The sequence below is a fragment of the Homo sapiens genome, chromosome 11 (assembly GCF_000001405.40).
Source record: "Homo sapiens chromosome 11, GRCh38.p14 Primary Assembly".
Classification (NCBI taxonomy): Eukaryota; Metazoa; Chordata; class Mammalia; order Primates; family Hominidae; genus Homo; species Homo sapiens.
The window spans coordinates 115,919,616-115,943,872 of NC_000011.10; the positions used below are offsets into that span (position 1 = coordinate 115,919,616).

The window sequence follows — 24,257 nt, forward strand, 5'->3', positions numbered from 1 at the left end:
TATGCCTGCCCTGGGAGAACACACAAGCTCTGCTGTCAGCCATGTGGTAAGATTCGTGGGGCTGGCTCTGCCCCGACTGGGGAAGCCTGAAGTTTTGGGGGATCAGATCAGCTCAGGGGTAGAGTAGCAGGTCATTCTGGTCTGACACAAGCCACCCCCTCTAATTTAACATTATCAGGAATAAAGGTGCTATTTCGATCTTCATTTCTCTGGCTCTTGGTCTGTCAATGGAGTGGTTCTGTAGTCGGAGAGGGTGAAAGTGGAGTTACAAATTTGCCCCCCTCAAACCTGAGAAGCAACTCTTTGGACCAATAGCAAAGTGATTTCTCAGCTGTGAACTAACAGTTTGCTTTTGGAATGAATCATGTGCTTTCAATTTTCCACTTCAAAAACACACACTTCAGCAGAAGTCACTTTACAGCAAATGAAAGAAGAAATTTCCCCAGGGGAGAAAGGTGTTTGTTACTTAGAGGAGGGTAGAAGGGATGACTTAGGAGCATCTATTTTTCCCAACTGTGAAGTCACCAGGAGGTCTTTTTGATATTATTGCCCTTCTAGCCAATAAGGCAGTGGTTTGCAAAATGCTAGCAATTAAGCAGTGCTCTAATTGGCTGAATTGTATCTCTCTGTCCAGAGTTCTGGGAGAGAACATAGGCAGGGTTAGGCATGGGAGAATGTGTCTGACTCACAACGAAGGTAGGAAGGGCTGGGTGGGTTTTATTGTGGGATAACTTTCCCAGAGCCTCCTCTATTTAGCTCTCCACATGGAAGCAGGGCTGTCAAAATGGCAAGTTCTACAGAGTGCCCCATTGCAACTGCTCCTCATTAAACTCCCTTCAGAGTCAAGAATGTGTTCACTCTCCTCTTCCTCTTTATATACTCACCACCGCCATCGCCAGCACCTTCACCTTCATCATTGTCTCTCTCATTTATGGAGCACTGTGCTAAGCCATTTTTATGCATGATCTTCTCCTCACAACAACCCTGTGAGATAGATACCCTTATTTCCCCCCATTTCCAATGGGTAAACTGAGGCTGCAGGAAATTGAGCCAATAAATGGTAGAGCCAGAATTCCAGTTCAGACCAAATGTGACTCCAGTACACTATGCAATGTAGATGCCTATCCAATGTCTTCTTGGATGCTTCCAATGACGAGGTGCTCAGTAACTCCTGAGCTTCCCGTTGCACTGTTGGACAGATTGCAAGCTTTCCTCCCCAGGTCTCTGACATTCTGCCTGTCGTTACACAGAATGCATCCTGTCACACCATGGCAGCATGTTTGATTGAGGCAGGGCCCTAGTTAATGCTTTGCAGTCAAGCAGGGATACTGGGCTGGTGTAATGTAAAATGCTGACCTGGGGAAATGGCATTTCACTGAACTCACTGAGGCTTGAAATGGGTGTGCTGTGAACTGTACGGCCTTGCCCTCCTGAAGAGAGGGCCCCGAGGGATAGCTGGAAGGCCTGGCAGAGTGCCTCTCCTCCCTCTCAGCATGCCATGGCCTTCTAGGGGGCTTCCAGTTCCATGCTGAGGCTATACTTCCCTCTCAGGGAGAGCTGGTTGCTCCCGCATGCTGTTTGTAGTGTTTTACATCTACCTCTGCAAACCTGCTGGGCGTTCTGGCTGGATGATGCTGTTCACATTCCGAATGCTTGTGTTTACCCACCTCCTCACTGAACAAATTTACAAAGTCAACATTTTGGGACATCTCAGAGATTTAAAAAAAAAATGGCAACACAAAACTAACACAACTATGTTGTCCTCTCCCACCCCCTTGTTTCTAACACATCATAGAGTGGAATTAACAAGATTCTAGTCCTTGGCACTGGATCAATTCTGGATGCCATCTCCACCCAGTCTCCATCCCGTCTTTCCCCTAACTCTTACTGTTCTGATAAGTGATGGTAAACAGAAAACAGGCCATTGTGTCAACTATACCTGGCTTCCAATCCCAACTCAGTCTCTCACTAGCTCTGTGATGATGAGTAAGTTACATAATCTCTGCGAGCTTTAGTTTTCTCATGGGAAACTGATACACGCTTTGCATTGTTGTGCTGAGCTTTAGGCAAGGTATCCAGGATGTGCATGGTTTTGGTTGCTGGTTGGTCATTCCAGGATTTCATCCTTTCGACCTTGACCAGTTCAGTGATTAATGGTTTTCATCAGTTAAATCTGGATGATGGAGTAATTGAGTCAGGAGTGGGACAGGGCAGCTGGACCCAGAGCAGACACTGAGCACCCCTGGGCAAGCCCCCAATCTTTCTGTGTTTTTGTGCCTCCATCTGTTGTGCCCTGATCTGAAATCATTTTGTCTCTTACTGGAAGGATGTGAGGCTGAGATGGAAAGAAGAAGGAGAGGTGCTCAAAAGTCTGCTGAAGAAAGATGAATAGCCCCTTGTAAGCCCCACTTACTGCTGCCCACCCTTGATTGTCTGTGGCCGTAGAGGAGAGAGAGCGTAATTCTATAAGAGAGGAGCACCCAAAACTGCTGCTTGATAACCCTGGGTGTCTCCTAGACAAAAGCCCTACTCCTTGGGGTATTGTTCATGTTCTTCATGTTCTGGTCCCAGGAGACTTCTGCAGAGGCATCTCTCTGCTCCCTTCTCTCTCCCCAGGGACTACCCACTCTGCCTTGAATATACTGTGCCCATTTGCTCCTTTGATTTTTTATTCTTGGAATGTCCTCCCTTCAACCTCCTTTGCCCCTATACTGCCCCACCAGGTGAACTCAAATTCATCCTCATGGTTTCCTCTAAAGTGTCCTCTGATCTCTATGTGGCTTTTTTTTTTTAACTCCTCCTGACTTCCTCTCCATTTTTATGCCTCTTCTCCCTGTACATGCAGCGATAGCCTCTACTACAGCACCTCATAGTGTGCTGCAATGTCTGTTTACATGGCAGCATCCCCTGTCAGATTTAGGGCAGGGACTGTGCTTATTCTTCCCCATGTCCCCAGTGCCCAGTAAAGTGCCAGGCAAATAATAGACAATTAATAAATACTTGTTGTTGAATTGCATTCAGAGCTGTGTGTGCCCCAGCTCTCTTCTTCCACCTCTCCCTTCCCACAGCACACTCATGGTCTCTCCCTCTTGCCCTGCCCTCTCCTCATTTCTCCCCTCCCTTGTCCCATCGCTGTCCTTGCTATCTCCTAATTGAATTTTTCTGGACAGTAACAAGGCCAGAGATATCTTGCAAAGTGAATACACCACCCACAAATAATCAAGTTGCCACCATTCTCTTAGGCGAGCACCATTTTGGGGATACTATTTATCTCCCCTTCTTCCCATATGTCCAACCCCAGGGTGGGTCATAAAGGGGACAAAACCAGCTCCTCTAATTTGGTGGAGTCCAGCGTGGAGCCAAGCAGCACACGTCCCTCCTCCTGCTCCTCTTACCTCCGCAGGCAGCTCTGGGCAAACAAGTCAGTCTTCATTAAGACAAGGCACACCTGTTACCTGCGTGAACTCTGCCCTTCTCCCCGGTGGCAATTAGCCGGGCTCTGGCTGGTGGAAAAGCATTGGCTTCCCCTGCTTTCTCTGTGAGCTTTTCTTAGTGAACCAGCTATCAGAATCTCCTGCCCAGGGGTCCTGCTGTCCGTTATTATATCACCGCCCCTGCCATCCTGCCTTTACAGCAGCCCTTGGAGAGGAATCTTAATGTGTGCTGAAGACAGCAGCAGGAGTAGGAGGGGGCAAGGAGAGACAAGAACTCGGGTTTCTGGGCAGGTGAAGGGGGCCTGCACTGTATTGTCTTAAACTTCAGAGAGACAGTTTCAGGAACCTTGTATTTATTTATTCCTTATTTCCAGCAAAGGTGAGAATGCAGTGAGGGCCGGTCCAGCATGGATAAAATAGAGCTGCCTGCACGGTGGGGATTGGGGCGGGGGTGGGGAGAAGAAAAAGTGCCACTTTGAACAGAGTAAGGAGGGAATGGGCTTTGTGGGGTCATTTAGTCCATCCCCCTGCCTCCCTAGCCCTCTGAACTATAAAAGCCTTCCCTTTCTCTCAATTAGGAATGAAGCATGCCGGGCCTCATCTCGGACCTGCACACTGCCCCTCATTATGTTCATGATCGGGTGAGGATTCTTGTCTCATGTCTTTCCAAGTCCTTGCAAGGCAGTGTCTCTCTGCTTACAGCATTCTATTCCAGCAGGAAATGGATAAAGAGTGGCCAGAAGGTGAAAAAGAAGAGATGGCCCCCTGAAAGGGACATCCACATTTATTTGAGCACCTACCAGGTACCAGACATTATGCTTGACCATTTTTATCCACAATTTTAGTTAATACTCATGATAACCCAGGAAATATTAATAGATCAATTTCCCCACTTTACAGAAGTAGTCACTAAGACCCAGAGAGAGGAAGGGATTTTCCAACGTTGCCCAGCTGTACGTAGTGCCCACCGTACCCTTCTACCCGTTGTATAGAGTTGAGCAGGTTTTTTAAAGCTCTCTACACCTCAGCTTTTCCATATGTAAAATGAGAGAAATAATAGTAGCAGCCTCACAAGGTTGTTGTTAGAATTAGAATTAGTTAACAGATACAATTCTTAGAAGAATACTTGGTACATCATAAACATCTTGTAAATGTTAGCTGCTATTATTAGTAGTATTAATTATTATTACTTGAGACACAGTCTTGCTCTATTGCCAAGGCTGGAGTGCAGTGGCACAATCATACCTAACTGCAGCCTTGACCTTCCCTGGTCAAGTGATCTTCCCACATCAGCCTCTTGAATAGCTGGGACCACAGGCATATGCCACCACCCCCAGCTAATTTTTTTATTTTTTATAGAGACAGGCTCTCACCATGTTTCCCAAACTGATCCTGAACTCCCAGCCTCAAGTGATCCTCCTGCCTCAGCCTCCCAAAGTGCTGGGATTACAGGTGTAAGCCACGGCACGTAGCTATTATCATTATTTTTAGTCTTTTATTCCTGAATGACAGAGCTTTCTGGGCTTAATAATAATAATTACTATGTATGGAGCACCTTCTATGTTCCAAGCCTGTGCCTGGCACTTTACATTAATTATCTTATTTAATCCTCAATGACTGTATAATGTAGTATTATTATTTCTATGTTTCAAAGAAGTCAATTGAGGTTCAGAGAATTTATAGAACTAAGTAAGCTGCAAGGCTGGATCTCCAAGCCAGCGTCATGTGATTCCCAAGCCCACACTCAGCCACTGCACTGTACCACTCTCCAGAAGAACCTGTGGGCAGGGGTGATCTACTTGGAGATGATCCATCTTTTCTTATTATCACGTGAGGCTTCAAAACCTCCTTCTGTGGCAGAACCTCCCACCCTCCACACCCCCAACATTTTCCAGCTGCAAAAGACATCGAGGGGCAGGGAGGCGGGTTTGCTTCCTCTTCCTTCCCCTCCCCTCTCTTCTTTCTCCTCACTCTCCAGTCCTTCCCTTGCACACTGAGGTAGCCTTGTGGAGCTATAACTGTGTCTTGGTGGGATGTCTCATAACTGAGGCTGCTGGGAGAGAATTTTGGACAGGGGGAACTTTGGAGGGGATTCCCTTTGTGTCTCAGGATGAGAAGTTCAGAGAAACAGCCGGTAGCCATTCATCATGCATGCCTACTCATACATAGGTCAGATATGAGGCAGGGAAAGCCCCATTACTAGAAGGGTTTAAACAGGGACTGTAGAACCATTGGCCAGGATTATGAGAGTAGCATATGCCTACTCATACATAGTTCAGAAATGAGGCAGGGAAAGCCCCGTTACTAGAAGGGTTTAAACAGGGACTGGATAACCATCTGCCAGGGACCTTATAAGGGGGAATTCCCTCTATTCTCTGAGGTTAAAAGAGTTTCCACAGTTTAAGCACATGAGAGGGGAGCTCAGGAGACTTAAAGCCAACTTCTGGAGACTGCTGCAGGGACCACAGTGGGTTCTGAGCAGTAGAAACATGATTCACATTCACATCCAAAGCCCCTACCAGCTATTCCTAGGAAAGCCCAAGCTGAAATGGCATATCGTTTTCCCACAGGTTTCTACTCTTACCCCACACTCTGGTCTTCCTTATGTATCCATTTCATTAGGCCCAAATTCCCCAGAACAGAAAAAGACAGCAGAGAGCTAAGAGCCTTTCTACCTGTCCAGAGCAAATATGTGTTGGATGTGTGTGTGTGTGTGCATGTGCAGAATGTGCTGTAGGGGCAGGATGGTGGCTACTGGTGGCTTTTCCTGGCCTTTCAAACCCCATGACCTGAATGATGTGGCTTCATGGGAGCTGGCCGTGACTCAACTGTGGGCAAAATTCAGCTTCTAAAATTCTGGAAATCCAAAGAGAGTTCTATTGGCTTGTAAGCCAAGGAGTGACCAAAGTACATGAACAACAACGTGTGTGTGTGTGTGTTGGGTTGGGTGTGCAGGGGTTCCTCCTCTTTGGGCCATCATTCAATGCCCAACTCAGCCACATACTTCTCTTAGGACTCTGAGGAGTTTCCCAAAACTCAATGAGCCTTCTTTTATTGAAGCATTGTAGAAATAGTAGTAATAGTAAGTAAAGCAATAATAATAGAACCAATTCCACAAAAATGTGGTAGGACCACGTGGATAGTGAATGCAAAGCACTTGGTGGAAAGAAAACACATGCTGACATGGTTTGGTTCTGTGTCGCCACCCAAATCTCATCTCGAATTGTAATCCCCAAGTGTTGAGGGAGGGAGGTGATTGGATCATGGGGACAGTTTCCCCCTACACTGTTCTCGTGAGAGTCAATGAGTTCTCATGAGATCTGATGGTTTTATAAGTGTTTGGAAGTTCCTCCTTTGCTCTTCTCTGTCCTGTCACCTGGTGAAAAAAAGTGCTTGCTTCCCCTTCCCCTTCTGCCATGATTGTGAGTTTCCTGAGGCCTCCTCAGCCATACCGAACTGTGAGTCAATTAAACCTCTTTCCTTTATAAATTACCCAGTCTTGGTATGTCTTTATAGCAGTGTGAGAACAAACTAACACATATGCCCTGGATGGAAGAGCTCATTTCATTAATGCTAAAGTCAACAGAGCCTTGAAAATGGCTTGCAGGCATGGCCTCAGGAAGAGCCAAGAACCAAGTGTGATCCCCTCTTCTACCCCTAGGAGCTATGGGCTGAGCCCCTTGACCAGCAGACTTCCCAGGATGAAAAGGAGAAGAGCTCAAGGAATTGCCATGAAGAGTTAGTGTAGAGAGTAGTTTGGTGATGAGTCAATGGTCATTCACCCCCCACCTCACGGTGCAAGACTTTGTAGTGAATCTTCTGAGTCCTATGTCTCATTTTCCTTATCTAACAAATGGCGTGGTGGTCCTCGCCCTAGCTAACCCATAGGATTGACTTGATTTGAAAACCCTGAAATGTTACTCGGTGGTGGGCTTCAGGCTCCCCCAGGCAGGATCTTGCAGCTGTGGGCTATGCATATGCCTCTGTGGACAGGGACATCATCAGCTCTCTATCCAGCCCACTCCCCACATTCCCACCCCATGGCAAAGCCTAAGCTTTGTGCCTTCTAGAGGGACCAGAGTCTCACTTAGGGAGAAACAAATCTTCCTCCTGGTGGAGAACAGGCAGCACTCTGGGTGTGTGCCTGGGAGCCCCACCCACTCTGGCCGTCCTCCTATGTGAGGATAGGGAGCCAGGTCAGGCCACCCCCTCCACGTTGCTGCCTTTAAACTACTGTGCTTTGTGCTTTCTGGTGTTTCAGTTTATCATCTCAGGATTTGGAATTGGGAAGAAGGACGCTCCTTCAGCTCAGATGTTTGCTTGTGCCCCAGACTCCAGAGACCCTCTCCCCACCTCCTTTCCTCCCTTGCCCCCTTCCATGGGGACAAAGAGGGGCTCCCGCCTCAGGCCTTGGGGAGGGGCTTGAATGCCTTATGGAGGCTTCCATGGAGAGTCAGTGGCAGAGGATGAAAAAGAGGAGCTGAAGAAGCAGAAAAAGGAAGAGAGGAGGAAAAGCCAGGAGATTACAAGGGATCAAGAAGAGGCTGTTTAAGTACATGGCAGGGTACCCAGGAGCTGGGCTCCTGTGGTTGTGTGGGCTGGAGGCTGCATGGCAGTGGATGCTGAGAAGAAGCTGTGCTTTCGAGAAGCTGAAAGAAGATGGTCTGTCCTCCCACAGGGGCCTCAGGGACCTCAGGCAATGCTGGGCTCTCAGAGGGTAGGGTGGGGGCATCCATGCCCTCATTTTGGCCTAGGAGGCAACAGGTGTTTATCTGAAGTGCCTCTGCATGCGGTGGACATCAGACAAAGACAGTGTGTGTGTTTGTGCATGTGTAGATGCACGTCGGAGACACGTTTCAGTGTGCAGACTGCATGCATTCACTTCTGTGTGTTTTCGAAAGTTCAGGCGTGCATGCCTGTCAAAGAGGCCCATGGGCAATCTGAAACCATGACTGGATACCAGCCCAGGCTGCGACAGCCCAAAGGACAGCCCTCTCCCCACATCAGGGCTGCTCTGACCATGTCCCAGCTTAAGCATGGCAGTTGCCCAAGGCTATCACCTTGCTCTCTGCTGGGCTCAATTCATGACTGACTGGTGGCCAGGACCCAGTGGTTTACCAGGTGCTTTCACCCTTAGGCTCTCACATGGTCCTGGTAAAAACCATGTGGTACACAGTACAGTTCTCTTTACAGAGACAGGAACCAAAACTTAACATCTCAAAAAACTGCCTTTCGAAGTCAGATCCAGTATTGTTTCCTTTGCCTGCAAATGTCATTAGGTACTGTTTCTTTATTTTTGGGCCATCTCCTCTTACATCTCTACCCTTTTAACCCCTAAGGGTCAAAAATGTGCATAAAAGGCCAGAGTAGGGACCTTGCTTTCCCCATCCATGTTCTTTGTGGCTGGACTTAAATGGTTAGGGTGAAGGTGGGTCATAAGTCCAGAGTTTAGCTCCTGGGGGACCTTCTTCCAAGGCCTGGGGGCCTATAAATTCCAAATTCTAGACTTACAGGGATTTTAATGTTGGGAGCAGTTCTGTATAGGAGGGAAGAGGTGCTGCTATCAGGAACTCAGAGAGGATTTTTCGAATCTGTTGGGACTGTTTTCGAATCCCAGTTATGTGACGGAGGCCAATCAGTATTCTCTCTCTCTGCATCTCAGCTTTCTCATCTATAAAACGGGAATCTAATAAAAATAATAATAGCAAATACTTGTAGAATGCCAACAAGATGTAAGACTCTATTTTAAGTACTTAATAGCTATTAATTTAATCTTTACAACAATCTTGTGAGTCAGGAATATTATCACCATTGAACAGACAAGAAAACTGATTCTCAAAGTATTAAGTGACTTGCCCAACATCACAGTGCTCATACACGACGAATATGGTACTTGAGCCCAGCAGTCTGGCTACAACATCTGTGTTTAACCACTGCAATACTTCACAGCAGGGCTGGATAACTACCTGAACCTTGGGTGGTAAAAAAACAGCTTAACAACATGTGGTGGTTTTAAAACCTGTCTGCAAACTCTTTGATACTCCTCCATCAAAAGGCAAAATCTAGGTCTCCTCCCCTTGAAAGTCCTAGATAAACTGTGTGACAGACTTCAAGAATTAGGATGCAGTGAACAGAATGCTATGAAATTTCCAAGGGTGGCTTAGGAAAGGCCTTTGGCTTCTGCTGGTTTCTCTCAGGATACCTGCTTTGGGAGCCTTCTGCTGCTGCGTGAGATCCCTGGCTACCCTGGAGAGACATCAGACAACAAGTGAGATGCCCAAGAGCCCTAGCTGTCTTTGTCTTTGCAGCCCAAGCTCCAGACATGTACTGAAGAAGCTTTAAGGATAAATTCAGTCCCAACTACTCCCTGGCTACAACTATGAGACAGACCCTCCCAAGTCAGAACTGCCTAGCCAAGCTCAGGCAACTCCAAGATTTAAGAGCAAAATAAAAGATAGTTATTGCTTTAAGCTACTGTTTGGGTGGTTTGTTATGCAGTAGTAGATAGTCAGAACATAACACTTACTTTACAATAGTTGTAAAGTAAGGAATGAGGAATCATTTCAATGAGGAATCACTGAAAATGTAGATGTCGAGCCCTTGGTAGTGACTGCCACCTCACTTTCCCTCATTCATCTGCACTCTCTGGGTATCCTCACAAATACCTCTTGTCTTAAAACAGAAGTGACTCATACACAAGTTCAATAGCCACCTCCACCAAACTCTGGAAACCAGTGTCGCGGATCGCAGCTTTCTCACTTATAACTGGTGATCTTCACAGCTCTTTAAAAAACAAAAACACTGCACATGATGCTACTGCGTGGAGGCACTGGCATGTATAGACAGGGAATTATCAGCACCTTATGTCATTCCAGAAAAGCTCCTGGAACTTACACTGGGCATGCTCTGTTGCTGACCTCTCTCCCTTCCCTAAGTACACATTAGGTTCACACTGTGCCAGCTTTTCCTTAGATGTGGTTTTGTGCGGGTAAAGACTTTAGCTTTATTTTATTCTTCCATGCATTTTGTGGATTACATCACTGAGACAGAGAATAATGCATATTACAGTATAATGAGGGAGCCACAGGCCTATCTGAGGGAAGAGAAGTGGAAAATGAAAGAATAAAGGGGAATGAAGAAAGGCTAAAGAAAAGAAAGAAAGGCATAGAGAGGAAGAAAAAATCGAAGGGGGGGGAGAGAGAGAGAGAGAGAAAAGATAAAAACGTGGAAGGCAAGTGAAAGGGAAATGGGAGAAAGGACAGGAAGGGGCTGGAGATGAAAGACAAAATGCAATGAGGAGAAAGTGGCCATTTCATTCTGACTGCTCTGCTCTCAGCTGAGTCCTGCAGCTGGAGAGCCTGGAGGCTGCAGTCCCCACATCTGCCCACTGCACTCGGTGCCAGGGCTGGCCTTGCACACATAGCTCTTGCCTGCAGCTCAACACCCTGAGCTCCTTAAATAGCTTTGAACCACACTGAGTGGTGGATAAACATTTGTTTCACAGCTCACAAAGCAGAGCTGCTGGCTACCAGCAGGTTTGATGTAATGAGTTCCATTCTGGACCCCGGGGAGCATTTAGAATGGGCTCTTCTTTGCCCAGGCTGCCAGTCAAGCTGGTACCAGGGGGAAAGAAAAAACACAACACTAATCTCTTCCCCACCATCCCTGTCCAGATTTGGAGTCCCCAGAAACCAAAGTACTCCATTCTCAGGGGATGGGATTAAGGAGCAGGGTGCCCCAGGAACCCGAAATGCAAGTGCCAGAAAGGGTGGCTGGATAACCTCCTTTTTACGCATCCTCAGGAAATTACTTGGACTCATGAGCAGTCCAAAATCCACTCACTTCTCAGGAGCTGAGAATTGCAGACAGAGTCTCTGGTCTCATCCCCTCTCTGCTTGCTCCACACAGCCTTCCTTTGCAGCTGTGGAGCTCAATTCTTAAGAAAGGAGATAGTAGAACAGCCTGGCATTGCTGCCCTTGGTTGGCAGCTGCCCTCCTTGACCACTGCTCTCTACCACCCAGATTGTGCCCAGAGCTTCCTGTTTACCTCTGTGCTCAGAGAGCCACAGTGCCCTGCGTTCTGACCCCCATTCCCATCACAGCAGGGGAGGGAGGGTGATGGGGAAGGGGCTGCTGATCCTCCTCTTTATTCCCCGCTTCCCCCCAAACTCCCCACTCCAGGACAATATGACATGCCACCGGAAGGAGCTGAAGACCAGTTGATATGATGAATAAATGGTAATTATGTGGTTGGCCTTTCAGCACTTCCTCTGTGGATATTAATAGCCATTAATGCCCTGCTGTTTTGCACTGCACCAGAGTCTGCCAGACAGAGCACAGGGCAGGTCACTGCCCCAGCCCTGTGCTCACCCCCCTACCAGCACTGCCTCATTTGCTTCAGAATTTCAGGAAGGAAATGAACTTGCAAAGACAGTGGGTAGAAAATTAAAAGGGGTGAAAACAAATCCAAGGGGGAAGTCATTTAGATTTCCAGGTAAATTGGTTGTTGAATTGGCTTCTTGGACTGTTATGATTGGGATCTCCTAGGGGTCATCTTGTCTCTTTCCAGATTCTAGGCAGGAGTCACCATGAAAACTTATATCCTTTTCCTTAGAGTTACTGGGGCTGAGAGAAATTAGCAGATGAGTACAGAGGCAGACTTGAATTTCCCCATCAAAGCAAGTTGGGCAAGAGCAGAACTGACCAGGCTTAAATGGCAGAAGTGTAGACAAAAGTGGACAGCCTGAATCCTACCATTCTTTGAGGCAGCAACATGGTGTACAGAAGGAGCATAGATAGGCCTTGAAATCAGACCCCGGGGTTAACCAGCTGGCCCTACCACCTGCTAGTTCTACACTCTGGACTACAGGAGATAACAAAAAGAGTGTAGCTACTGCATGAGAAGACTCAACTTTATCACTGTGTGATCTTGGGTAACTTGCATACCTTCTCTGGACCCTAATTTTCTCATCAGAAAAAAAATTTCCTAGAACAGGACTGTATATAATAAATAAATACTAGTCCTTGTTGAGTAGTGTGTTGGAGCTACCTAGTACCAGCTCATGAGAGCCAATGTTATGCCTCCCTTCCCAAATTTGTGTTCAGTGACATCACGTTGGTAGCTTGAAATTGGCCATGGTAGGAATATTTACACCAGAGAAATTGGTAATGCTACAAATTAGGTGTATTCTCACCTCCACCCCCCTTAGGAGAACTGATTGTTCAACATATACCAGCAAACGGCTGCTCCTGCCTGTTTCAGCTGTTTGGAATAGTGGGGTCTTAGAGCATGTCCTCGGGCTCCTGAAAGCCACAGGCCAGCCCTTTGGATGATCTATTTGCCTCCCATACACCTCAACAAACTGTTCACTTCTAACAGGGATTGTCAAAATCTCCTTGAGGCCCTATTAGAAAGCTGCAGTTCCTTGATCTATTCAGCACCAAGAGGCAATTGTCGAGGAAGTTGATTGTAGTTCAAATCCAGGTATCAATTCAAAATGTTTTTGCCTCAGACAACCGTGTGCGATCAATCAGTAATGTAATCCTCTGCTGGTAGAACACAAAAACAAAGCCCCACCTTGCCTTGTAAACACAACATCATTAGTCTTAGGATAAACTATAAATTGATGCATAGAGCAAACAGCCAGAGCTGCATCCCGGGGAATGGGAGCAGATGAAATAGCAGTACTTTATGGTGAATGACAAATCATTGCTTGTTCCGTTCCCTATCAAGTGGAACACCATCAATCACATGGTGGACTCGTTGGGTTCCAAGACAGATAGGACACCATGAACAGATGCTATGGCTGAGACTGCTGGCCTGGGCAGCACTGTACTTTTTGCTTTTCCTGGAAGGGGAAGAAGAGAACAATCCACTTTCTGTATGGTCCTGTCCTTCATTCGAGTTTATAACGGTGAGTAAGTCAAGGAATTCCATCAATCATAATGTCCTTGAGAATGGGAACCTTCATCCTTTTCATGTTACACAAAGTCCTGTTTGAATGGCAAGGGAAAGAAATGGCAGGCTTCTAACCAAAGAAAGAAGGAGCAGAGGACAGATCAACTGCTTTTTTGATTTCAGAAAGTCATTAAAGTCCCATCTGTCCTCATATAGTGACTCTCAATCTCTGGGTCTGCCATAGTGCCTGTAATACCAACCCCTTGGGTCACTCTTTTATATTAAGGTATTATATTCAAAAGGAGCATATTACTATGTGCATATCAGCTCCAACACAATGGGGCATTATCTGAGCACGTAATAGGTGCTCAGTATCTATCTTCTAAATGGATAAATGAAAGGATGGATGCATGATAATACACAGTAGGTAGTTTGGATGGAAGGAAAAGAGGATCGGGAAAGGAGTGAGAGGTATGATTGTAAAATTAACATTAGAGTAGGTGACACTGCTTTCAGGGATAGGAGACTGGAATGGGTGATTTCTCCAAAATGAAGAAAGGTGATACAAGAGGGGAAATAGGAAATCCTGAAGATAATACCCATCTCCTTTCTAGTGTTTCCTATGGCCAGTTGGTTTTTAAGCAAAGCATGTTGAGGGAATAAAAATCAAAGTCTGTCTCTATTCTAATGGGAACATGAGGCAAGGAGGAAAAAGGTGGCTGTGATTTGCTGTCGCTCATGCATAATCCCACAGGCCCTATTTCTGGCCTTCTGCCATTCGTGGGGCCAGGGAACTGAGAAGCAATGGAATCTTTCTGACTGCTGATTTAATTAAGTGTGGCTAGTCTGTGACAGAGGCTGACTCGGCACCAAGCCAAAGTCACAGGTGAGTTGGTCATGTCATTGATGGGTGAGTCCAGCCTCATGTTTGACCAAATCAACCAGTCATTTGGGATATCTGAAGACTTACGGATAGCAATTGATCCTGCTATGGTGCTGGAAGACACTGGTGATTTGGTTAAAACCCATCTCTCTCTCTATATGTATATATAGTAAAGAACATACTGGCTAATTCAGGCAATCTGACAGTCTGGGGTAGCTACAACTTTAGTGATACCAAGTATTGGACATTATGTAGTGAAAACCATGTTTGACTTATATCTTTTTTCATTTCACCTAGTTGTTGTGGACATTGTGCTGACACACCTAAGGGTGGTTTGGAAACAGTTGGCATGTTTTCTTTATGTATTTTTCACCTCTGCCATCTGTAACTGAGAAAGGGTATCCTTCCTCCTGCCAGTTCTCCCCAGCTGAAGTCTACACAATCTTTACCCAGACATCAGAAACAGCTGTCTCAGGCAGAAGGCGCTTGACTCCAGGTGGGCGCTCAGCAGCAAGGGCAGGTGAGATAATGAGCAACAATAAAGTCCTTTTCAAGGAGGTGGGAGTCTGTTGGAGGGGTGAGTTGGTTAGCATATGCTGGCCCTTACTTGGCTCCTAGCATTTGTTCTTCTGTGAAGCTTGTTTCTCAGTGTGATATCAGATTTACTCCTCCTTCTCTTCCTCCTTTCCTGCCTTCTTTTTTCCCTTCATTTACTGTGCATGACACTGTGCTTGATACCACAGAAGACTCAAAGATGATGCAGCTATCACCCCTACCCTCAAGGACCCAGCCACACTCTACCTAGGAAAAAGGCAAATCAAACGCAACCATGTTGCTAATAATAATAATAAATGAAGAAAAGATAAGAAGAGATTAAGCATTTGGAGTTCAGGGAAAAGGAAGTAGAAGTGTATTTGGGTTTCATAGAGGAGATAAATATTGTACACACATAGGCCTAAAAGGACAGGTGAGATTAGAATGGTTTCAGTGCATGGGGCCATCTAGAAAATTATTTGCAGGGGGAAAGGAGAGAATAAAGATGTAAATGCAAAAATAAATTAGAGTAGTGTAGTTAAAGAAGTCAAAAGTCCTGGAGAGAAAACACAGGTAGGTGGGTAATAAGAATAACACTTTTGCCCTGATGAAACAGTGGCAGAACAAAGAGGGTATCAGATGCCAGGTTAAGAATGTTAGACACATTTTGGCCATCCATTGGGAACCATGGAAGATTTCTTAGCAGTTTATGATGCTTAAACATCTTTGGGAAGAATAATCTTGCATCTATGTGTAAGGTAGTTTGGAAGGGGGCAAGATAGACAGTAGAGATAAAAGTTAATAGATACGAGTCCAGAAGATGGCAATTAAAAGCTCGTGCTGAGGCAATCATGAGAAATCCATGAGGGGACAATGCTGGAGAGCAAGTCTGATTGGAATAAATAGGACATGGTTCTAATAACTACACACTAAGATGAGGGGTGAAGAGTCAGAAGTCATTGCAGCTTTGTGCTTTAATATTTGGTTGAGCTGACTTTGGAGAAAGGATGCTGATGGTGTCAATCTCCCTTTGATCCACCTCTGTCTGCAGCACAGCTGTAGTGGAGAGTCCCACAAGGCCTCAGACTCACCCAGCTCTTGACCTGCATCCCACCTTGCGGGCTTTCTGTGCTTCTTTCCACATTGTGCACTAGGACCCTCTTCAAAACCTAGGAGATTGCTTGGACTGACCACAGAATAGCTTGAGTGTAGGGGAGATAATGCCCTGGGAGACTCCCAGCTAATGGAGAATGGGATCAATGCTGAACCTTCAGTCCTTCAGAAGAACAATTGAAAGCATCTGTCAACTTCTCAGGAGGTCCCAGTGGAATGGAGGCTCCATTGCCCACAGCACTGATCCTGATGATGTTTCTCACATCAGTGCTTCCTGCTCCTGACTAATTCTCCCTGCTCAATCACTGTTACATGCTGGGATCACCTCCCATATGAACTACCTGCACTCATTTCTTGCCTCAAGTTTTGCTTTTGGGAGAACCCAGGACAGACATACAGGTGGAGCTCTTCCAAAAACAAAGGTAATTGAGTCCAGAACTCTAGAGAGATGCTGGGGTTTGAGATATTTATTTCTAAATCATCTACACGGACAAGGTAATTGAAATTAGGGAAGTAAATACAATTGTCTAGGGGAAAGAATATGGAGAAAAAAGAGAGAAGGGAAGAAAATCAGACCTTGGAGAATTTTCCATCTGGTAGGTGGGAAGAGAACAAGCAACTAATGCAGTAGACGGAGAATAAGAAGGGCAGAGAGATGGTTGTGGTAAAAGTGAAGGGATCCTGAGAGTGACCATCTGAGATGAATGCTGCAGAGGCCCAAGGAGGATGTGGCATTTAGAAAGTCTTTGAAAACCTTGCAAGAGCGATTTTGTTGGTGACAGTGAAAGCCAGTTGCAAGTGTCAATGAGGTAAGGAAGTGGAGGCCCAGAGCATGGATTGGAGGTCCCTAAACCTGGCTCTTTGGGTGGCTTTAAAAAATACCAACATCTCACAATAGACCATCTGAAGTAGCATCTCCAGAGAGAAGGGCTTCTCTCTCAATTATATTGAGGGGAAAGAGAGGTAAAGTGATAGTCCGATAGCTTGAGGTATCAAGGCATGGAGAAGTATTAAGAGTAAAAGAGAAATAGAGAAGATGTATCCAAGGTGGAGAGAATTAGTCAGTGGGAAGGAAGATGTTAAAGATGCAAGATGGTGGGGAAAATGTCTGGAGAAGGACTCAGAGGAGAAGGGATCAAGAACATGACTTTCCTAAATTTAGTTTTAATAAAGAAGATTCATTCATTCACCCATTCAAGGGGCATGGGCTAGGTTCCTCTGTGGCAGGGCACTTTGCATAAAGAAAGGGCAAGTTATGGCCACTCCCCTCTAGGAGAGAAGGAGGTAGAAAGAATCACTAGAAAATTGTTAGATTTTAGGATAGAAACATTTGTGGTATTTTGAATAGTGCCTCTGCCCACATACCTACTGAGAGACTCAGGAGAAGGTAAATTCCCAGGGCTTCAGTTTTCTTAGCTTTAACCACCACTCTCCTGGGTTGCTACAATAATCACACAAGAACATTGTGCTAATGTGCCCAGCACAGTGATGAGCACATAGTAGGCCTTCCAGAGAGCTTAGTTTTCTTTATTTTGGAAGCAAAATACAATGACACTGCAGAGGAAGAAATGTTTTACTCTGCTCCAAGGGCTAAGTAAAGCTTTCCAGAAAAGCTATTACTCAAACTAACTTGGAGCTGAGAGGGGAAAAGAAAGGCCATCTGAAAATTTGGGAATCATTGGAGCAAAGAGCAGGGCAACTGGGGAAGGTAAATCAGATGGCTCTTGTCTTCCAATAAACAGAAAGCAAGGTTGTCATTTAAGGGTACGTAGTATGGGCTACATTGCATCCCTCCCCTGCCAAATTTATATGTTGAAGTCCTAACCCCCAGTACTTCAGAATGTGACTGTATTTGGAGACAGAGCCTTTAACAAGGAAATTGACGTAAAATAGGGCATATGAGTGAGTGAGCTTTAATCTAATAGGACTCCCTATAAGAAGAGGACATTAGGACACAGACATGCATTAGGAGAAGGCAGCCATCTGTTAGACAAAGAGAGAGCCCTTGGAAGAAACGAGCTCTGCCAACACCTTGATCTTGGACTTCTAGCCTCTAGAACTGTGAGGAAGTAAATTTCTGTTGCTTAAGGCACTCAGTCTAGTATTTGTTACAGCAGCCCTAGCCAACTCACACAGTAAGGGTGTGGGATAGCAGCAGATTGGAGAGACTGAGGAAAATGAGGATGGTTTGGAAGAACTCTGATGGGGAGGTCAGTTAAAGCTAAGGAAATGGTTCCCGAAGAGATGGTAGCCCAGCTCACCTTATGGATTGTGGGTGGGCCCATGACTTTTTTTCTCCTGCAGTGTTTGCTAGGGCAGCAGGTTGAACCTGGGCTGTGTTTGGGTTCTGGCACCAAGGGACTCATTGGTCAGGAGAGTGGGAACTTCCAGACTGGCTGAGGGCAGGTGAAATGACTGGCCAGGGGCACAGTCTCAGGGAGACAAATGAGGCCAGAAAGGACATGCTCCTCTCCTTAATCTGGGAGATTAAGGAGAGTTCTGGAATGGGAGAATAACTGGATGATTAAATGTGAGGGAGTGGGAGTTTGGAAAGTTCAGAGACTGTATCACAGAAGGGTAGTGGGCTTGGAGGTATGCTCATGGTTTAAAAATAATGGACAGAACTTTGTCATAACATGTGAGGACGGAATAGAATGGTACAGTGTCAGATTTCCCCATGGAGAGTTAGGGTAATGGTATTCTCCAGCTTCCAGGCATCTGTGTTTTAACAGCAATGTACTTCAACATCGTGGCTTGAAGCCCCTTGTTGTTGGGTGGATATCTGAGGCCTTGGACCCTTAATATCTTCCTAAAATTATTATGCTCTAGTGGGGCTAGAATCTATGTCTTTTAACTTCCAATTTAGGACCCTTGACAACACTGTTCCCATTAGTAAGGCCATGGTGGTCAGGGCACTGGCATCCTTCCTCCACAGAGAGATCACGTTTAAGAGCCATTTTCTCACACCCTCTCCAAAGCCCATGAATTCACAGAACTCGTGACCAGGTACAGGCAGGTGAGACTATGAACCACATGATAGAGCTGCTTCTTAGACTCTCATACTCTATAGCCCAGACCTGACTATAGCCCTGAAATCATCCCTAAGAGCTTGGAGAGGAATGGAAGGAAATGGGAATTAAATATCTTGGGAATGTCTTCAACCCAGGCCATTTTCTGTCAAATCTCTGCCTTAAATGATTTTCTACATTTTTGTTAAAGATATTCAGATTCCAGTTACTCTTGCAATAAGCAATCATGCCCCAAGCCTAGGAAAGAGCCTGGCACCAAGCAGGCACTCATTAAATGTTTGCTGAGCTATTATTAAATGCTCAAGTCTTACTACCTGGAAGTTCTTCCTTATATCCTGCCACCAACGTATTTCTTATAGTGTGGTTAGCTGATGGTTTCCGTATTCTCTAGCAACAGTTCTTAGCTTACTTGTCAAAACACACTGGTTTGCCTCATCTGTTTTGAGGTACACTGCAAGTAATTTGTTACCAATAATAAAACATCACATCTGAGAAGGTGATTTTGTAAATAGAGAAAATTCGAAAGAGTGCTTATTGTAACGTCTCTCTTGCTTTACTTGCATTTCAGTTTGCTTTCTTGAGTGGGAGGGTGGTGGTAGAGTCACAGCTGGATAACAGGGGATTGTGTATCACCTCTGTTAAGGCAGTGGGTGTGTTCGGAATATGTCACTTTCACCCGAGTGTCCTGACTAAGGAGAGAAACAGCTATGAGACTCACCGTTGGAACATTCGCTCCTCCACATGGAATAGATGGCTACATCTTTAGCTTTCTCCTTGCCAGGATAAACATTCACAGATCTGCCCAGTGGCTGGACATTCAGCACATTCCTGAAGAGTATTTTAATTGGCTGAGTGGGTCTCTGAGGACCTGCCCCCATTAGCAGGAGAGTGATTCCTGAGTGTTGCCCAAACATAGCAAATGCAGCTGTGTCCTAACAACACAGTCCTGGGGACCTCTGGAACCACATCTCCCTCCACAGCCTTGGCTATTTCAAAGAGATCATTAACAAGGTAGAATTGGATGCCCAGAAGGTCACTGCACAATATACATTGCTACTGTCTTTTAATGGACTTTCTCCAGACATGGCGATTCTTAAACTGCAGCTTCGGCAGCTGCTAAGGACAGGGAGAGCCATGCTGTCTGCAACCAGAGCCACCCTGCCAGTCCTGTTGAAGCAGATCTGAGCTTGGGCAGATGGATCAGGCTTGGAGAGGGGAGGAGGGGAAGTGGGTTTAAGGGGAGGGGGCATCAACAGAGAAGCTAGGCAGCCCTCAGAGGACTTTGTTATTGATTTAGCGTGAGGACTGAAAGTGGCAGGCAGGCAGGTGGCAGGGGCGGGCAGGAGGGGAAGACAGGTGTAGGCAATTGTGGGCAGTGATTAGCTGGGGTGGTGCAGATGTGGCTGGGGGTGTCAGCTGGTGGTGATTAGCATGGGTGCTTCTGAGAAGTGTTGCATCAGATGGTGGTTTCAGAGTCCAGATGTGAAAAGCCAGTGGTCCCTGCCTTCCCCTGCTTCCATACCCCTTTATACTCTCCCTACTCTCCCGAGCACGCACTTGCACTTTCACCTTCCCTGCCACAACCACCCCTTTCTGGGCATTCCTCTCTAGGTGAAGGGCATGGACATCAGATTGTTCTCCCCTCAGTCTTCAGTTTTTCAGCTAAGTTCTGACATGACGACACAGACTGAACACCCTCAGACACCAGGCAAGACGAAATCTACATAATAGGTCAGTGAAGTCATGCTTATTCCCATGAGAAATGCACCTGGTGACAGAGGACTTTTATACCCCAGTGTCTATTTTGCCTGTCCCCCTTTTTATAACCTGCCTAAAATTTTTATTAATATTAATATTTGTATGTGATTACAGTATATACAAAAAGTAAATACGCCAGCATAACTCCCACCCACATCAAGAAATAGAAAATTCCCAGCACTCCGTTGGACCCCATTCCAGCCACTAACTTCTACCTTTGTCTCCAAAAGTGATCACTTGACTTCAGTCACCATAGATTCATTTTGACTGTTTTGGAACTTTATATAAATGGATGCATACACAGTACATTATGTTGTATCTACCTCTTTTTGCTTAATAATATGTTTGTAAGCAACCGTTTGTTCTTTTTCATTGCTGCATATTATCCTACTTCTAAGTAAATCGCAATTATCACTTCCAGTGTTGAGAAACATTTGGGCTGTTTCTGGATTGGGGTTATATGAATAATGCTGTTCTAATCACTTTAACGGGTTGTTTAGTGGTTATACACATGTATTTCTATATAGTTAACAGTGAAATTGCCAGAATCATAGGGCATGGGTATATTTAGCTTTAGTAGAAACAATTTGATAGAAAGCATTTTGCAAAATGATAGTGCCATGTCTCTACTCTGATATCTCAGGACTAGCTTGCCCTCAGCCAGAGGCCCAGGAGCTGGTAGGAAACTAGCCACCATCAACAGCTGCCTGTCTCGGGCATTCTGTAGGACCCACTGTAGGACTTTTGCTCACCCATTTCAGCATTTGGTTCCTTATATTCATCCTCTCCTAAGTCTTGGCGCTTACAGACTCTCACACCCTATAACCATTTCAGGTGCTCCTTGCACTGATGACCCCTTTAGCTACGGCTTCTGTGACTTACTGACCAGTTTATCTGCTCAATTAAGCTCCCAACTACACTCCTACCCCATTCCACAAAGTTGGATCAGATGCATTCCGGTTTGGGCTCCACAGAGCTGATTCAGGCCAGTGCTAGTTTCTAGTCTCTCTGTTAGAGAGTGCAGGATGATCGGAGGTGGAGCTTGTCACACCGAGAAGAGAAGCAAGTGAACTGTAAGACAGGCAAATCAATGAAATTGGCATTTTTCTTTATTAATGGGCCCAATTTGTCCTGGGTTAATGGCTATTTACAAAGTTTCAAGATGCCTAGCCCTTTGAGTTTTACGGCATCTTGACCATACTTTCTTGATATAGTGTGTGTGCGTGCGTGCGTGCGTGCGTGTGTGTGTGTGTGTTGCTATCTCATAGCATCTGTTTATTTCCATGTCCGCAGCAAAGTGCTGGGCACACAGAAGGACAACGTGATGAAGCGCCATCACATGGCTGGTAGCCTGTGGTGAGTCACCGGACTTCTCGACTCCCACCTCACTAGGGTGGAAGGAACAGTAACCACAACGCTCTGCAACTCGGGCTGCGCCCGCATGATTGGAAACAATCTGTGAAGTGAGTCACATCAGTTGCAAAAACAATTAAGTCAGTGGGAAAAGAAAATCAGTAAAACTGGTTATTTGGCTTGATGAAAAGAAAGCAGTCCATTGTTTGGTTACATTTTTCACTTCCCAGCTGGTCACTGTGACACTAACTGAGGCTGGGCTTGCCTACACAAATGCTTTCAACAGTTTTGACCGAGACTATGTCTACACAGCTCTAAAACCATCTGGCAAGTTACTCAGTGGAGTCAAATAATCCATCAACTATTTGCCTCAATAATAATTTTAGCCTCATGACCATTTTATGGAGACCCAATAGAAAACTACCATAGACATTTTCAAGAAAGACAAGACTTGGAGGGCACAATCCCACTCCTATTACATTCTGTGTCTGGGAACTCAGTGACTTCAGGCAGTTCTAGGTAATATCTGCTAGTGGGAGTGGGAGGCAGACAGGGGTTAGGTGGAGTTCAGAGCTGTGAAATGCAGAGATGATTCCCCCAAGTCATGCTGACTGAACGCTTTGCTTTCATCCTAGATTGTGGAGTGAACAACCCCGAAGAAATAGACTTCTAATTCTAGCCTTTTGGAGATTATTAACCCAACTCCCAGATTCTACAGATGAGAAAAGGGAGGCCCAGGGAGGTGGAGAAACATGTGTAGGATCACAGAGGTGAAAAATGAGTGTTTGCTTGGCTAAGTTCAACTGTACCTACTTGTCTCCAGAGACTGCTCAGGAACTAGAACACCCTGATACAACACAGGCACTTGTGATGGAGATATTCCATCAAAAGTGGAATAGGGCATGAAGGAGAATTATCTCCTAAAAGCTGGGAAGTTTCTCCTAATCCTTTTTAGGGTGTCTTCCCTGTATCCCAAATGCTCTTCAACTGCCCAGGGCTCACGTCAGTCTCCAAAGAACAGTGTCCCAAGTAGAGGGGAATGTGTATGATGCCACGTTGGCTGAAGTGTGCTCTAATTGCACAGATATTCCCATAAATGCTATTTTATTAAGCTGAGCTACACTAAATCTGTCATATCCATAAGTAACACCACAGCGAATCTGTAGGTAAGTTCAGAACACTGCAGTGAGCCATGCTGGGCTATTAGTTTCAATTCAACGCTGTTACCTGTAAGTTACAGCATCTCGGGGGCACAACTTAGGCACCGAGTTTATAAGATTTGGTTCCTTACAGATGCCTTCAGCTCTCCAAAACAACAGAAATGATCAAAGATGGAGGCAAGAAGACCAGAGAACCCTAAATGTTTACTGTCTCCAGTGTGTTTGGAAACAGCTTGGACCAGTGTAGAGTGCTGGAACAGAGAGTCAAGAGCATCAGGTTCGATTCCCACCCTTACAAACTGCTCAGCCTATGGAAATTACTTTATGTTTCAGGCCTCACTCTTGCCATCTTTAAAATGGCGACACATGTACACACCCCTCCACAGTAAATACAGAGGTCCTGCAAGCCAGGATGTTAAGTACTTAGGATGAAAATGATGACGATTAAGTCTATTCTATCACTTGATCTGATTCTCTCTGACTAGTCTGCAGGGGGTAATAACATGGCCTGCAGATGATCCATAATCCACCATCTTCTGGTGAAAAGAGAGGAAAGGGGGTTAATGTGTGCATGTACATATATATATACACACACACACACACACATATATATACACACACACACAATTGTATACACATTAACATTAATGTGTATATAATGTATATACATTTTATATACGTATCAGTGTTAATATATAAAATGTATATATACATTTTATGTATATAATGTATATACCTAACATATACATATACATCTATATATAATTTATATATATTATATATATACACACACATTAACCCCCTTTCCTCTTTTGCCACCAGAAGATGGTGGATTTTATATATATATGTGTGTGTGTGTGTATGTATACATTATATATATGCATTATACAATATATAATGTCTCTATGTACATATAATGTGTGTATATATATGTATTATATATAATGTGTGTGTCTGCCCCCAAAGAAATTTAAAATAAGTTGATATCTAAACACATTGTTGATGAACAAGGGCGACTAATTATCTACTTGCGGTAGAGAAGTCAGACTATTGCAAATGTCTTAGCACTTCATAGTATATTAGGAAATTTCTAGA

The 24,257-nt window shown here is 45.2% G+C and overlaps 1 long non-coding RNA gene across 8 annotated transcripts, besides 4 other annotated features; it reads left to right on the top strand.

The window, feature by feature from the left end:
- Positions 1 to 20: 20 nt before the first annotated feature.
- On the top strand, positions 21 to 23,723 carry LINC02703 (long intergenic non-protein coding RNA 2703). Of its 8 annotated transcripts, NR_187258.1 has the most exons (7): positions 21 to 696; positions 4,013 to 4,237; positions 13,168 to 13,348; positions 14,513 to 14,735; positions 21,943 to 22,112; positions 22,638 to 22,772; positions 23,296 to 23,723. It is a non-coding gene; the product is annotated as a long intergenic non-protein coding RNA 2703 (long non-coding RNA). The 8 variants fall into 8 exon arrangements; NR_187264.1 differs by lacking the exons at positions 13,168 to 13,348; positions 14,513 to 14,735; positions 21,943 to 22,112; positions 22,638 to 22,772; positions 23,296 to 23,723 and adding exons at positions 2,327 to 2,398; positions 9,632 to 9,904 and having other exon boundaries at positions 21 to 46; positions 4,013 to 4,075; positions 4,153 to 4,237; NR_187259.1 differs by lacking the exons at positions 13,168 to 13,348; positions 14,513 to 14,735; positions 21,943 to 22,112; positions 22,638 to 22,772; positions 23,296 to 23,723 and adding an exon at positions 9,632 to 9,904 and having other exon boundaries at positions 4,013 to 4,075; positions 4,153 to 4,237.
- Positions 5,403 to 5,682: an enhancer, noted in NCBI's record as "active region_5547". NCBI's record gives its function as "activates an Ori minimal core promoter by ATAC-STARR-seq in GM12878 lymphoblastoid cells {active_cell/tissue: GM12878}" and the evidence as "EXISTENCE:reporter gene assay evidence [ECO:0000049][PMID:35858748]".
- Positions 8,759 to 8,808: an enhancer, noted in NCBI's record as "active region_5548". NCBI's record gives its function as "activates an Ori minimal core promoter by ATAC-STARR-seq in GM12878 lymphoblastoid cells {active_cell/tissue: GM12878}" and the evidence as "EXISTENCE:reporter gene assay evidence [ECO:0000049][PMID:35858748]".
- Positions 9,979 to 10,118: an enhancer, noted in NCBI's record as "active region_5549". NCBI's record gives its function as "activates an Ori minimal core promoter by ATAC-STARR-seq in GM12878 lymphoblastoid cells {active_cell/tissue: GM12878}" and the evidence as "EXISTENCE:reporter gene assay evidence [ECO:0000049][PMID:35858748]".
- Positions 21,707 to 22,906: an enhancer, noted in NCBI's record as "P300/CBP strongly-dependent group 1 enhancer chr11:115812040-115813239 (GRCh37/hg19 assembly coordinates)". NCBI's record gives its function as "activates an origin of replication core promoter dependent on BRD2, BRD4, P300/CBP, MED14 and CDK7 cofactors, with strong dependence on P300/CBP, by STARR-seq in HCT116 cells {active_cell/tissue: HCT116}" and the evidence as "EXISTENCE:reporter gene assay evidence [ECO:0000049][PMID:35650434]".
- Positions 23,724 to 24,257: the final 534 nt, after the last annotated feature.